This window comes from Homo sapiens, chromosome 21 (genome assembly GCF_000001405.40).
Source record: "Homo sapiens chromosome 21, GRCh38.p14 Primary Assembly".
In the NCBI taxonomy this organism is placed as follows: Eukaryota; Metazoa; Chordata; class Mammalia; order Primates; family Hominidae; genus Homo; species Homo sapiens.
In genome coordinates, this window is record NC_000021.9 from 20,648,376 (window position 1) to 20,664,382 (window position 16,007).

General features: G+C 34.4%; 2 annotated features.

The window, feature by feature from the left end:
* Window positions 12,650-13,188: an enhancer, noted in NCBI's record as "NANOG-H3K27ac hESC enhancer chr21:22033338-22033876 (GRCh37/hg19 assembly coordinates)". NCBI's record gives its function as "activates a minimal SCP1, AML or CMV promoter by ChIP-STARR-seq in naive H9 embryonic stem cells {active_cell/tissue: H9 hESC(naive)}" and the evidence as "EXISTENCE:reporter gene assay evidence [ECO:0000049][PMID:30033119]".
* Window positions 14,221-14,515: an enhancer, noted in NCBI's record as "tiled region #8374; HepG2 Activating non-DNase unmatched - State 24:Quies". NCBI's record gives its function as "activates a minimal TATA promoter and a strong SV40 promoter by Sharpr-MPRA in HepG2 cells {active_cell/tissue: HepG2}" and the evidence as "EXISTENCE:reporter gene assay evidence [ECO:0000049][PMID:27701403]".

A 16,007-nucleotide genomic window follows, 5' to 3' on the forward strand; every position in this document is an offset into this window, starting at 1 on the left:
ATTGGCAATGCAGCCAGTCATCAAGAACTCTAATGGAGATGTACAAATTTAATGTTGTTTCATGCCTGCTAACACAACATCCATTTTGCAGCCCTTGGGCCAAGGAGTAATTTCAAATTTCAAGTCTTATTATTTAACAAATACATTATGTAACGCTATAATTGCTATAGGTAGTGATTTCTCTGATGGATCTGGGCAAAGTACATTGAAAATCTTCTGAAAATAATCTACCATTCTAGATATCATTAAAAACACTTGTGATTCATGGGAAGAGAGCAGAATATCAACATTAGGAGGAGTTTGGAAGAAGTTGATTCCTGCTCTTATGGATGTCCTTCAGGGGTTTAAGATTTTAGTGGAGGAAAGAAATACAGATGCGGTGAACACAGTGAGAGAACTAGAATTAGAAGTGAAACCTGAAGATGTGACTGAATTACTGCAATCTCAGGATAACAATTTAATCACTGAGGAATTGCTTCTTATGAATGAGCCACAAAAATGTTTCTTTGAGATGGAATCTACTCCTGGTGAAGATGCTGTGAACATTGCTGAACATGATGCATTTAGAATATTACACAACTTATTTGATAAGCAGTGGTAGGATTTGAGAGGATTGACTCCAGTGTTGAAAAAAGTTCTACTATGGGTAAAATGCCATCAAACAGCGTGGCATTTTACAAAAAAAAAACCCAAGGAAAAAAAACAGTCAATCGATGCAGCTGACTTCATTGTTGTCTTATTGTATGAAATTGCCACAGCCACCCCAACCCTCAGCAACTACCATCTTGATCAGCCAGCAGCCACTGAAATCCAGTCAAAAGCTTCCCTCAACAAAAAGACTATGACTTGCTGAAGGCTCAGACAATAGCATATTTTAGTAACAAGTATTTTTGAATTAAGTACTTTTTTTACTATTGACAAAGTAGTAAAAATGTAGTGGTAGACTACATTATAGTGCAAATATAACCTTTATATGAACTGGAAAACAAAAAATAAATGAGTGAGTCACTTTATTGCAATATTTGTTTTATGGTGGTGATCTGAAATAGAACCTACAATATCTCTGAGGTATGCCTGTGCCACTGCACAACTATTAGAATGGTCAAAATCCAGAATACACGTAACACTACTGCTGGAGAGCATGCAGGGCAACGGGAAATCTCATTCATCGATGATGGGAATGCACTGGTATAGCCACTTTGGAAAACAATTCGGCAGCTTCTTACAGAAGTAATCATACTCTTAACTTACGATCCAGAAATTGAGCTCCCTTAATATACCCAAAAGAATTTAAAATAGGTATATGCACACCAAAATCTGCACTCTGATGTTTACATAATGATAACAACTTTATTCATAATTGCCAAAACTTGGAAGCAACCAAGATGTTCTTCTGTAGATAAATGGATAAGTAAATTTCCTTACAAACGAACAATAAAATACTATTCAGCACTAAAAGAAATGTGCTATCAAGCCATGAAAATATAGAGGAGTAACTTAGGTACTTATCGCTAAACAAAATAAGTCCGTTTGAAAAGGCTACCTACCATATAATTCTAACAATAAGACATTTTGGAAAAAGCAAAACTGTGGAGACAGGAGAAAGATCAGGAATTTGTAAGGTTGGAGAGAAGGGAGGGATGAATAGGTAGATCACAGAGGATTTTTAAGACAGTGAAACTACTCTCCATGATTAAAAAGAAAAAAGTGGTGGAAAAATGTCATTATAAATTGTTCCAAACCCACAGAATGCACAATTCCAAGAATGAACCCTAATGTAAAGTACAGATTTTGAGTGATAATGATGTGTCAATATAGGTTCATTAATTGTAACAATTGTAGCACTCTGTTGAGGGATGTTGTTAAGGGCGGAGACCCTGTGTGTGTGGAAGCAGGGAATATATGGGAAATCTTTACCTTCCTCTCCAACTTGAATCACAAGCAATTATGCATGAAATTTGAGAACATAAAGAGAATATAAAGTCACATTATGATACCTCCTGCCAATTGCAGATATAATGAACATGAAATGTCCAATATTAAATTTGTTTTTGAATGTCTTTTATTTGGATATTGTTTTGCATTTCCTCTACTCCATTTAAGCCAAACTTCCTTGCAGGTAAGTTCTTCTAAGTTCTTCTACATATTAGACTTAAACCTTATATCAATTCTGTCTTCTAAAATAAAACATAGAATAAGTCAATATCCAAAAGAAAAAAGCAAAAAAAGCCATGTTTATATTTTAAGATAGTAGCTTTTCTTTTTAGACATTTCCATTGTATTCTCTTCTACCATCTATGTACCCAAATATTTGTTTAGGTTGATTTTTAATGAAATGCAAAATAATACAATATGACTTACCTCCCAATATGTACAACTCAACAAAATAATAACTCAACAAAAAATCCAGAACATACTCTTCAATTATGATTAATTTTTTTTTTTTTTTTTTTTTTTTTTTTTTGAGACAGAGTCTCGCTGTGTTGCCAGGCTGGAGTGCAGTGGCACGATCTCGGCTTACTGCAACCTCCGCTTCCTGGGTTCAAGCGATTCTGCTGCCTCAGCCTCCCGAGTAGCTGGGACTACAGCCGCCCGCCACCACGCCCAGCTAATTTTTGTATTTTTAGTAGAGACGTGGTTTCACCATGTTGGCCAGGGTGGTCTCGGCCTGGCGCTGTGGCTCATGTCTGTAATCTCAGCATTTTGGGAGGCCGAGGGGGGCAGATCACGAGGTGAAAATATTTTTTAAACAAGGGCGTGAGGACCAACTGGCAGAAATTGTGCAGTGAAAATTTCTACATGAGACATGAGTTAAAACTTAGTAAAATCTTCAAAGCGCTTTCTTTTTCTTATACTATTCAAAAAATTTTTTTCAACTTTATGGATTGTAACACGTATATTAATACCTGCAATATACAGATACTGTATAAAATATATAGACGTGTTTGGTTTTATTTACAAAATTTGGTTGGTAATTAGTTTATTCATCAACAAATCGATTAACAAGGAGAACAAAAAGGAAAAGTTGTTTAGCTATCTATCTTTATTTATTCGTTATCTGTAAATTATAAACAGTTCAAAGCCTACGGAATCTTTCTTTAATAAATCATGCATATATTTTTGAAGAGGTTTGATTGATGGAAACATAATGGATGTACATATTTGTGGGGTACCTGTGATAATTTGAAAAATGCATATAATCAAATCAGGATAATTGAGATATCCGTCACCTTAAATATTTATCTTTTCTTTACGCTAGAAACATTCAAATTATTCTCCTTTAGCTATTCTGAAATGTACAATTGATTATTGTTAAATATAGTCATGCTACTGACTCGTTGACTAAAAAGGTTGAACAAAATACCAAATAAAAATATGAAATAACCAGAAGCATGGATTTCTTTAAAATCTGGTTATTCAGTAAACTTTACTTTTATTGCTTTTACGGTTGCCTTATCTGCATCTTGTATGGCAGCATTTTATTAATGACTCACTTTTTAAGAGTAAACTATGCATTTAACTTTAATAGAATATATTACTCTTTTACAAGCAGTTTTCATTAGTTTATCAAACTATTCATTTAAATTAAATCAGAAATTACAACAAGTATCACCATCAAGGCCATGAAAAATGTTGATTAATCCTAATAGTTGTTTCAGTTTAGTCTGATTGAGAGACCTCTTCTAATCTGTAGATAGTACCATGTGTAACATCTACATTGGTGATTTATTAATGGGCTATATTTTTGTATAAAAGAAATACTCTCCTATTTGTAATAGATGTAAGTCTTCATTATTTTATTTTTACACAATTCACTATGAGATCATGGTTTTAATGGTTCTCCCATAATTAAATAAGACTTTACAGAGGAGACATTTTTCTGTAGCAGTAAATAACATTTTTTAAAAAGAGTAGTGAATCTTCCTAAAAGTTTCTTCCCCAAGAAGACACAGAACGTACGTCCATACTAATATTCTCAGTGATTCCACCTCATAGACATTATTATTCCCATATTACAGATGAGGAAATTGAAGGCTTATTCACTAAAAGCTCCCCTGAAATAATTTGTGTGAGCATTTTTCCTATAAAGCAAATGGAATATTTTCATGACCTCATTATTGAAAATAATAAATGTAAATTTCCTTTTTAGGTTTATGTTCTCTATTCTTGAGCTATCCTTATCATGTTCAATCCTGTCTCCCCTTTATCTCTGAAAGACCACTGTCCCATTAGTCAGGATCAACTGTAATAAACTGTCTTTAATCTCTATGGGCTTGCATCAGTTAAGTTATATTACTTAGATTAAAATTGTGTCCTTATTCATGCAATACATGTAGATTTTTTTCCAGAAATGATTGTTATTTTCAAGTATTATACATGTTTTATTTTCTCTGAAATAACATATTTATGATATTTTGACAAAAAATTGAAAGATATAAATAGTAAATGAAAATATATTATTTACACTGATCTTAAAAATACATTTCAAAGTAAGAAGATATATTATTCGCACTGTACAAGTGAACAGCCTTAAAAGATGGTGTAGTTTACTAGAAAGAACATAAGACTGATTATGAAACTTTTTGGATTCTGTTCCTAATTCTGCTGTTGCTTAGCTTTGGTGAGGTTTAAAATATAGTCAACTCTTCACTTACTTCTTGCATATGAACTAAATTAAATGATTCCCCTCCCGCCCATATGGTAGTATTTCTGCACAGATGCAGTTAGTATTACATGCTGTGCAAAATCCCAGCTGTAAACTGAAAACAGGGCTTTCATTTATTTTCTATTGTTTTTAAGTAGATTTTTCTGAAAATAGGTTTAAAAAGCAAATGAAAAACGGAAAACAGAAACAATGCATCGGTTAGGTCCACAATTAGTGATGGAAGATAGAAAGGACTAGAAACAAAAAGGAACAATATGACGATATTTAAGTAAAAAGTATGTTCAATATGGGGAAAATTCACATTTGTAAGCTTCTTAAAATACATGTTCTTCAAAAGAAATGTCCTTCAAAAGAAATACTCAGTAGCCACAAATGTCCTCCAAAGTTCTATTGAAGAAAATAAGTTATTGGAGAAAATTCTTATGCTCCATTTTATTCCAAGGAATATAAAAATCTGAAAGTGAGGTAGAGAATTTACAGTAGCTCACTTATATATCAAATTGTATTTAATTAAAGCCACGGGCAATTCTGTTTTAATACGAAGTTCTAATACAGGTATGTTTAACATAAATTGTTTGCTACAATTTAAGACTTCTTATGATACATTTTTGTCTAGAATGTTCTTTGATTCCAGATTCTTATAGCTTCTAAGTAGAGAAGCAGATTTACAATTCTTCAAGCTAAAAGCCCACTTGAATATTTGGAAAGATTCAGCATTGAGGTGTATGTGTATACATAATAGGTAAAAACAGCAATATGTTTGATTGTGCATGTTAACTTTCTAAAATAATGTGTATAAAAACTATAGAATTCAGCATCATTTTTATGATAAAATCATTTTTAAATATCTGTATGTAGGTAACTAGTTTAGCACTGGTTACAGTCTAACTGTCTCTACCTCTCTCTGTTAGTTGAAGTCACCTAGGTAAGTGTCCAGAGTAATTTTTACTAGTGGCAAATACTCTGGATTGCAGAGTGTTAAGACACTTTATTCAGCTTGAAGTATTCCATCAGTATGTAATAATGCAACTTTGATGAAAAGAATAAGATTTCCAAAAAGTTCATATCCCTTTCAGTTCAGCCTCTTAACTTTACCATAATAGTAAATAACTTCAGGCAAAATTCCAACAAACAAGGTGTGACCTTTGCTGTGTAGTCTCATCAGTCTCATAAGTAATTCTCTTTAAAATAGATATAGATATTTTGTATCATGTGATATATCTTACAAGGCAATTTATTCCTTAAGAGATCTTAGTTATATTTATATTGCCCACATTTCCCAGAGGAAGAATCTTACATATCCTTGCCAATGTTCAGCATCCTTACATCAAATAATGGACAAGTATTTCAAGTATATAAAATATGTATAGAAAATTTCATTCAAAAGAAAAATTTCAACTAATTTTAGTTATACCTCAGCCACAAAGATGGAAAAAATATTCTAAGTAACAAAAGGCATGCTGTATATCACTGAATTGCATTACGTTTACAGAAAGTTTTATGAGGTAATGATTTCTCTTCTGATTATCTATAGTTGTGTAGGCAACGACCTCAAGAGTTAGTGGCACAAACCAAAAACAGTTAATTACTTTGATTGCTGATCTGCAATTCCAGAGGGCTTGAGTGAGATAGCTCCTCTCTGCTCCATAGAGAGAGTATCAACTGGTATGGCTAGACGTAGGCTGGAGAATCCACTTCCAGGATGGCTCACTTTTATGAGCGCAGTGTAAGCCAGAGTTGCCAGCCCAGGATCCCAGCTTCACTCCTAATGAGCACCTTCTCAAAGCTGCCTGGGGCTCATCTCAGAACCTGGCTGGGTTTTAGGAGAGATTATTCCAAAAGACAGAAAGTGAGAATTGCCACTTTGCTAAGACCTGAACCTAGAAACTGTCACAGCATTATCTCTGACATACACTGTCCGTCAAAGCAGTTAAAAAAACCTCCCATATTCAAGAAAGGACATCAACTCAACTCCACCTCTTGGTGTGAAGTGTCAAAGAATTTGTGACTAGCTATACTTTTCCACAGCTAATAAAAAAGCTAAAAATGACAAATACAGATAGAAAAAACAGTGAGTTAGATTTGAAATGTTCATTCATTATAGATCTTTATCTGGTAAACTATCTTTCTAATTTGTGCACTCCAATTTTATGTGAGTATATAATTTTTCAAGCATCTCCAAAATACACATGCATCTTTGTAAATAATTGATTTTAACTAGTAGAAAATAATTTAATTCAAAATAATTAATATAATAATTACTATTCACCTACTCAAGTATAGCTAAATTATTCAGCATTTAAATAGCTACTGGTTTATGGTACCTAACATTCAAGTAATTATAAATATGTTAATTATTATTTACTAATATTAGAACCTGTAACTATTATAATTGTCATTACTTTTAATTAACTTACTTCATCTTAGACTGTCACAAACTTAATTTGTCATTTTAGTTTAATAAAATAAAAAAAATTCAATTTAAAATACAATTATTATTTAGCCCTTATGTAGCAAGACGAAAAGTTAACCATACATTGCTTCTAGAATTTAAAGTTTATGGTTCTTTTAGTTGTTTATAAAAATAAGTGTAATAACTTGGCAGATTAATGTCTGACTGTCAAAAATACTGTGGTCAGTTGGTCAGCCATGATTAAAGCCACTTTGGGTCCAAATGGGCCAAAAGGAAATATCGTTGAAGTATGAAACTTTTGCAGCCAACACTTACTTTTTGGAAGGGATAGATCTCTGTTAGCTGAATCGTATAAATGTCACAATGTCCATTGGTTTCTTTGTGGTTGTTGTTTGTGTTCCTGGCCTGTTCAGTGTTTGTATTCTACATGGGATACAATCACCAACAAACTTTATCTCTTTCCCACTCATGAAGCTACTAAAGAGATACCAGGGAACTGTTTCCACTCACACACATCCTTATCTGGCGTGTCCTTTGTGTCCCTTATTTGCTGGGACAGTGGTAAACTGCAATGATAGCAATTTCAGCCGAGTTTGAGTTGTCATTCTTGCTAGTCTTTGAACCCTGATTAGGCTTTGCAGTTCACCTCACAAACTGACAGTGCTATCAAAGGCAAGTATTCCATATTTGGAACACCAGTGAAAAACCAGGATGTTACAAGAAAAAAGTTTTTTTTTTTTTTTTTTTTTTTTTGACAGAGTCTTGCTCTGTCATCAGGCTGGAGTGTAGTGGCATGATCTCGGCTCACTGCAACCTCTGCCTCCTGGGTTCAAGCAATCCTGCATCAGCCTCTCAAGCAGCTGTGACTACAGGCGCCCACCACCACACGCAGTTAATTTTTTGTATTTTTAGTAGAGACTAGGTTTCACCATGTGGGACAGGATGGTGTTGATCCCTTTACCTCATGATCCACCCACCTCGGCCTCCTAAAGTGCTGGGATTACAGGCATGAGCCACTGTGCCCGGCCTAGAAACAAGATCTCTTAAGAGGTCATATATTCATAATAAAAAGGGCAAATATCATTCCCTCTAATGTCAACACTATCTCTGAAATATATCTTCTTTAATACATAGAAAAATAATACACTTATTTGAATGATAGACTTGACTTCTTAAAGTGGAAGAGATATTCAGTACTGGAAACTATTAAGCTCACATCTTACAAATGAGGAAAATGCTAAGAAGTTTAGGAATCTTCTTGGGTCATGAGGTTCACTGGGAGCAGAATAAGAATTGGGACCTACGTTTCTGGGTCTTCGGTATAGAGCATTCTTTATGGTTATCACAAGTTAGTATTTTCTACTAAAATATGTTCTCAGTATAAATAGTGTGAAAAAGCATTTTAAATATTTGTTGTATTAACAATTGCATAAAAAATCTCTTTTATTGATTACCAATATTATCCCCCCGAAAGTAGTACACATTAGTTTAAAAAGCGTGGAGCAAATATTTGGGTTATAAAATAGACATAAAATAGACATATAAAGTAATAGACATAAAATAGACATATAAAATAAAATAAAATATTTGGGTTATATAAAATATAAAATATTTGGGTTATAAAATAGGCTCTGGTTTTGTCATGAAAACATACAGCTTCTGAATATAATATGTAAAATATATATCATACTCAATAGGTAATATATATATTTATTACATAAATATAGAGAGACTGCTATGTCCCTGCTATGAAAGCACACAAATGTTGATTATAATATGGAATATCTCTTAGTCTGTTTGTGCCGTAGTAACAAAATACCTGTGACTGGGTAATTTATAAAGAGCAGAAATTTATTTCTCACATTTCTGAAGGCTGAGAAGTTTAAGATCAAGGCACCAACATTTGGTGAAGGCCTTCTTGTTGCATCCTCATGTAGTAGAAAGCAGAAGCACAAAGAAGCAGATCAATGCTACATTCTTACATGGCAGAAGAGAAGAGGGTGAACCATGAACTTACTCCTGCAAGGCATTTTTATAAGGGTCGTAAACTATGAGTGAGGAAAGAGCCTCCCAGAGGTCCCATCTTCCAATACCATCACTTTGGTGATTAGGTTTCAAGATGAGTTTCAGAGAGGACACCACATTCAAACCAAAGCAGATATTTGTGTGTGTATATATGTGTATGTGTGTGCATGTCTGTCTATTGTGAGTATATATATGTATAGGTGTATATATATATATACTCACAATAGACAGACATGCACACACATACACATATATACACACACATATATTTATAGGTATACATACACACACGCGCACACACACACACACACACACACACATATATATATATATATATATATATATATATATGTAACAATAGACAGAGAGAGAGAGATTGAGTCAAGCTTAAAATTAAGAAATGGGCCAGGTGCAGTGGCTCACGCCTGTAATCCCAGCACTTTGGGAGGCCAAGGTGGGTGCATCACCTGAGGTCAGGAGTTCCAGACCAGCCTGACCAATATGTTGAAACCCTGTCTCTCCTAAATATAAAAAGTTAGCTGGGTATGGTGGCACATGCCTGTAATCCCAGCTACTGGGGCAGGGGTATCACTTGAACCCGGGAGGCGGAGATTGCAATGAGCGGAGATTGCTCCATTGCAGTCCAGCCTGGTCAACAAGAGCAAAACTCTGTCTCAAAATAATAATAATAATAATAATGATAATAATTAAGAAATGGAAATGTTCAGCGAATACACAAATGAGGTAGAAGATGTGTGGCATATGTGTTAGGTGTCCTAATTTGCCTGGAATGCTCCAGTACATGCCTATTGTACTGGCTTAATTAAAAGCACCCTTTATACTCTGAGATGTTTTCTGGGTTGGGTAAAATGTTATCTGGTCACTGTAGATATGAGGCTGTGGAAATCAAATGTGCTGGGCAATGCCCATGAATTGATGGTGGAGACAAGGCCACAGATCATGACAAAACCGAAAGAAATAATCCTATCCATGAATGGGAAAGGCACTGCCAGTGTGGAAGTTCTTCCCAGGAAGCAGACTGATGGGAGAGATTGAGTTGAGAGAGTGCCAACTATAACTAAACAGAAGCCTAATCCTGAAGCCCATGGTTTCTGGGTGATAAAACATCTATCTGAAAACCTAACGTAAAAATTACTCAGACTCAAAGTATTTCTATAGGGACTTCTATCAGTCTTGGTTCCACCAGGAAAACAAAGTCAATTTAATAAAATGATTGGTTTAATAAATGCATTGGGTATATGTGTTTGTAGGGAGAGCTGGGGAACCTACAGTCAGAGAAACTGTCATCAAATGCAAGATACTTGTAGGCGGGAGAAAAGCAAATGACAAAGTATTCATGTTAAGCACTAAATTAGGTGGTTTTCAAAAAGTTGACTGGCTAGTTAATAACTCTTAACTGTCTCCTCAGCCGAGCAAAATGAGTGCCTCTCACACGCTTATTTAAAATCTGATGCGATGCTTCAATCTGCCCATGAGACTGGAAGAAAATACCTTCTAAATATTGCAGGAGTTTTTCTTAATGGTAAACTATAATCTAGAAGACTGTAGGAAAAAAGATTCTCGAAAATGAAGTTTCCTGCTTCTCCTTGAGAGTGCAGAGGACACCTCAAAACAGTGGTGAGGTTGATGTCAAGTTGATATTAGACTACCCAACACAGTCTCTAGCAGAGATGAATCACACTCATTCCCCACAGGTACTTCTACAACCCAGCGCCGCGTGAGATTTATTCTAAAGACAATGCCTTTGAAGAATTGTTCACACAGAAAATTACAAAGCACAGAAATACTTCATTTCCTCTGAAAGTGACTTAGCAGAAAAAAGGGAAAATTCACACCCACAAATCCACACGTATATAAGCCAGAAATTTATTTTACAAAAAAAAATAGCTAAAGTATTCATAGAGAGAAAGGAGAACTAGATAATGCACCTAGAACATTTAAACAATGCATAAATTCCAGAAAAGATTAATATTGCCCTTTAAATTGAAAAGGGATCAATTACAGACCAAATTAGTTAAGTTGTTAATTACTTAATTATTTGGCGAACAGATCTGAAGACATTACTAAGATTCTATCACAGTGAATTTAAGATGAGGATTGTGCTAGCCAGACAGAATAAAAGTCTAGATATATGTCTAAAGGGACATCAGAGGATGAGAAAAAAAAAATGAGAGGCTATCTTTAAATAGAAAATAAATTTTCTCCCAAAATACAGAAAAATGTGTTCTCAAACTGCAAAATCACAATGAGTTTTTAGTAGGAAAGTAAAGCAATCTCCACTTTCAGAACATCGTGGGTGAAGAAATAGTACTTCCATTGACTTCTATGTGTATAGATGGAATTGTGGTACTTCCATTGACTTCTATGTGTATACATGGAATTGTGGTAATATTTCAACAATCTAGATGCATAGTAACATCTAAAGTCCTTTCCAACTATACCAGCTATCAATTAGATCTGATTAAGATGAGCCTTAGGTACATACCTGAAAATTAGGAATAACCTTTGATTCTAACTGCATCAGAGGGATGTGTTCAATACAAAAGCAGGCATAATATTTTGTAGTTAAGTAAGAAACTTTAGAGAAATATGCAAATATGAGCTGCTTGCTATCTCCATCACTGATCTGAACTCTTAAGGTGTCATCATGTATCTTTCACTTAATTATTGTTTCAAAGTTTATTGAAAATGTTTATTAATATGAAAAATAACATCAGAAAATAAAACATTGGAATGTGATGATATTTAGTGGAAAAGTTGTAAGACAGTGGATAGATGAAAAATTTAAAAAATTCTCATTTCCATTAAAGCATCCTAACTATATCCAAATGATGTCATTGCAGGAATTAAATTGCTACAATGAGCATACAAATTCAAGGTCAAAAACTGCTTTCAAATACAAGAATTACTAATGATGAAGACTAATGATTTTCAGTTGTTCTGACCTCCTTAGAATTAGATCTAAACAGACAAATCTTCCAGCTTCGGAGACACCGTATTAAACTGTCACATTTCATGGCTGAACTGAGCTATATAGGGGGAAATATTTGGAATAGTAACTGCATTAATGTAAACATTTACAAAAGGGTTTTTTTTTTTTTATTTAAGAAAGAAGATTTGGAAAATCAAGATTAAACACAAAGTCTTCTTGATAATGGTTTTATAAGTCACTGTCAATCTTAGGAAACTGGCATTTATCAGTCAATCAATCAATAAAGTAAGGAGTAGCAAACTTCAAATTTTAAAAATGGAAGAAGGAAAGATAGAAATTGTTTTTGAGTTTGTTGTTTTGTTTATAATTTTTATATTACAAAGTGAAAACATATTTTATAAAATATAGCATATATTATTTATAGAAAATGTTTCAAAAAATCAATGTCTATAATACAGTGATTTCTCAAAAAACAGATTAAGATCGAATTATTTCATTCAAGTATAGAATGAATTTTCATAATGAAAACAGCTGTCTGTATGAGTACTTTTATGATACAAAGTCATCAGTAGCTTTCTCCCCAAAGAGGTCAAAATAAATTGGCATCACCTGAATCAAGGTTATGACTTCCTTGAGGCTTATCTTCTGACAGATTCATTTTCTATAATCTTTTTTTTTCTATTAGCAACTACTGTCTGGGAAATTTCTGCTTCATTGTATTCCCCTGTCTATAAATCAAAAAATGATTTAATAAATATTTGCACTTTTTTAAACAGTCTGTATTCAATTAAAATTGATTCGTGATTAAATATAAATTATAGCTTTTAAATTTCTGGTTTACAGGTGGCAGTCTAGTAAGATTTAACGATACTGTCTGACTGGAGCTGGAAAGCAGTGAGTATGGCTGCTATCGGAGAGGAGAGAGAAAATCAATCTCTGTGGGCTGCTATTATCCAGAAGAAATGGAGAGCTCCCAATGACCAGGCATTCCACCGAGCAACAGGGCTTACTTGCCTCTGCTCTCATTGAAAACCACACAGAGCATGCAACACTTTGCTCACTCCAAAACTTTATGACTTTCTTCAATTTCAAGCAATGTTGAATGCTGACTCAATAAGATACAACCAAAACAACTTGTTGATGAGACAAAGCTGAGTTTATTTTTTACCATGGTAAAAGTGAACGCTACCTCAGCAGAGGGGCAAGAAATATATTTTTTGAGATTTTGAAGTCTGGTGCAAGTTTTTCAATGTGGAACTTGGTTAAGATGGGGCTAGCGTCATAATGTAGTTGCTTAGAATTGTGAACGCAGGGAGGAGAGAATTTTGAGAAAAGTAATTCAAAGGGTCTTGACATATACCATTCAGTAAGTTGCTGGAATGAAAAATAAAGTCATTTGCAATTGTAATCTTCTTGGGCAAGAATTTGCTGTAATACTAAAGTTAAGTTGATGAAGTCAGTGGAGGAGGAAAAACATGCTAATGTAGACAGTAAGAGCTGTGAATGTAGATAGTCTCAGCTCTCAGCAGGGAGTCCCAACATAACAATATCAAGACTGACAAAGCAAGACTGAAGAAAGCACACACCATAACAAAGAAACAGCAGGCTCAATGAAGAGAAACATTTAGACATAAAGAAACTGTTATAAGATCAGATTTTAAAATAAGTATGGCTTTAAACATACATACACATACAAACACAGTAACACCATAAAATAAAAATTGAATTTTTTTAAAATGAAAAAAGTCTCAATACACAGGCTAAAGAGTACAATGGGAACTGTTGAAAAGCAAACTAATGAGCAGGTGTGTTTAATTGAGCTTTACTCTCCCAAGGGAAAGGGAACTGGAAAGCATGAAGGAAGAGGTAAGAGACTTGGGGAGATCATGTAACCCAACACCTAAATTGAAGGAATGCTAGAAAAAAAATACAAAGAAAACTGAAGAGTTAATGACATATAAATTAGTTATGTCTGAGCATGTCCCAAGACAGAGTTAATCATGCATTTGTATCCTAACCAAGTATTTGTTTTAATATAGAAAGAAAAAAATATTTGTGATTCACAGAGTATTACTCTGCTACTGAGAAAGCCAGAAAAAAAATGTAGCTGCAGAAGATCCCCTGAAATCACACCATTTGACAGTCCTAGAAAGTGCCTCTTACTTATGCAACGTGCAGTACTTTGGGTCAGGCAGGGTTGGTCCACCCGTGGAACTGATAGATGCAGGAGGCAGATAAGAGGGGAGTCCCCTAGAGCATCTCCAACTGGCCTGAGCACTGGGAGAATGGGGTGGAGCCACTGGAAGTTCTCTCAGCTTGTAGAGGGGAGGAGCTTGGCCTCTTTAGTTCCTGTGGGTGGCCTGGAATCAATCTGTGAGGTGGGGGGCCTGTTAGCAGGACTCCCTCTTGCTTTGCTGGAAGTTTTTTTCTTGTTTTCCTCTTTGCCCAATAAATTCCATTCCCCTCACACTTTGATGTGTCTGTGTGCTTAACTTTTCCTATTTTTTTCATTCTATATTAAAAACAAATTATTTAGTTAGTATATAAATACATGAGTAGCTCTGTCTTAGGACATGCTCAGATATGACTAATTTGTATGTCATTGACTCCTCAGTTTTCTTTGTATTTTTTTTCTAGCACTCTTGCAATTTGGATGTTGAGTTACATGATCTCCTCAAGTCTCTTAACCTCTTCCTCCAAGCTTTCCAGTCCCCTTTCCCTTTGAGAGTAAAGGGGACAAGAACCCCATTTAAGCTGAACTAAGGATCAAAGTTCTACAATAGAATAAATAGTTCTTTCTTGGTAAACATTTTTTTGAGGTCACAAATGCTGGGAACTTGATGAAAGCTTCTGAGGGACCAGAAATACTTGTGATGGAAAAGCCTGTATCTTGGCATGTACAACTTCTTCTATTTCCTGGAATTCTCTTTGCTATGAGTAGCACAAAGTAGACCAATGGCACATCATTTGCCTCCAAACTTTTCTTAGCTTGACTGGACTTCAATCTGGCAGCATTTCTAGCTTCTAGCAAGCAGTCTCTCCTGCCCTTCCCAAACTATAGCTCCAGTCCTTTTTAGTCTCCTCCTTCCCACCTACCCCCCAAAATCTACAAATTTTCTATTTTACGAGTCATTTGGTGGTTTAGTTAATAACATTTTCCTACCAAAATCCATGTTTTCTTTTACCACAAAATATATTGTTATTTACCTTTTATTTCCACATCTGAATGTAAAATTATTTGAACAAGATACTATCAAAATGAATCCATTTTATTTAAAAAGGTATTCATGTTTCTTCAAAGTGGTTATTCAGAAAAATAAGTGCCACCTGTCAACTGCTCATCAAAATTGACACAAGATAGTCATAATGCTATTGTGGCCCAGGAACCACAATTTTATCTTTGAGCAGCTAAGAAAAAAAAAAATCTTTCAGAAATGACCTTCTATTACTAGCTTTATTCTCTCTTTAGGCTCATAAGGACCGTTAACTATATTAAAAGAGCAAAGAGAAGCATCCTACCTTTCTCTGATACCCACCATTACAGCCAGGCTTCGGGGATACCTGCTGCTTTTATTTATTATGCTTTTCAGTACTAATATTAAAGTGTCTTTATAAACTTTATCATAGCGGTTACACACTAATGGGAATGGAGGTGCTGTATTTTCATTTTTTTCTTTATAATTGTCAAATAAAAAAATAAATCTGGACTAAGTAAGGAGAGACTAATTGGAAGGATTATTGCAAGAGAGGAAAGGACTATTGCAATATGGGAGGAGAATTATTCAATGGAAAGAACACTGATCATTAGATCTGCAAGCATCTTAAGGGCTAGGCAAAATGCATTTTGCTTTTGTAGAGAGAAATGAACAAGGTAAGAAAGAAATGACTGTCATCAAAGAAGAGATCAGAGACTATTTTACCTTGAGACCAGGCTATTCTCAGGAAAAGCT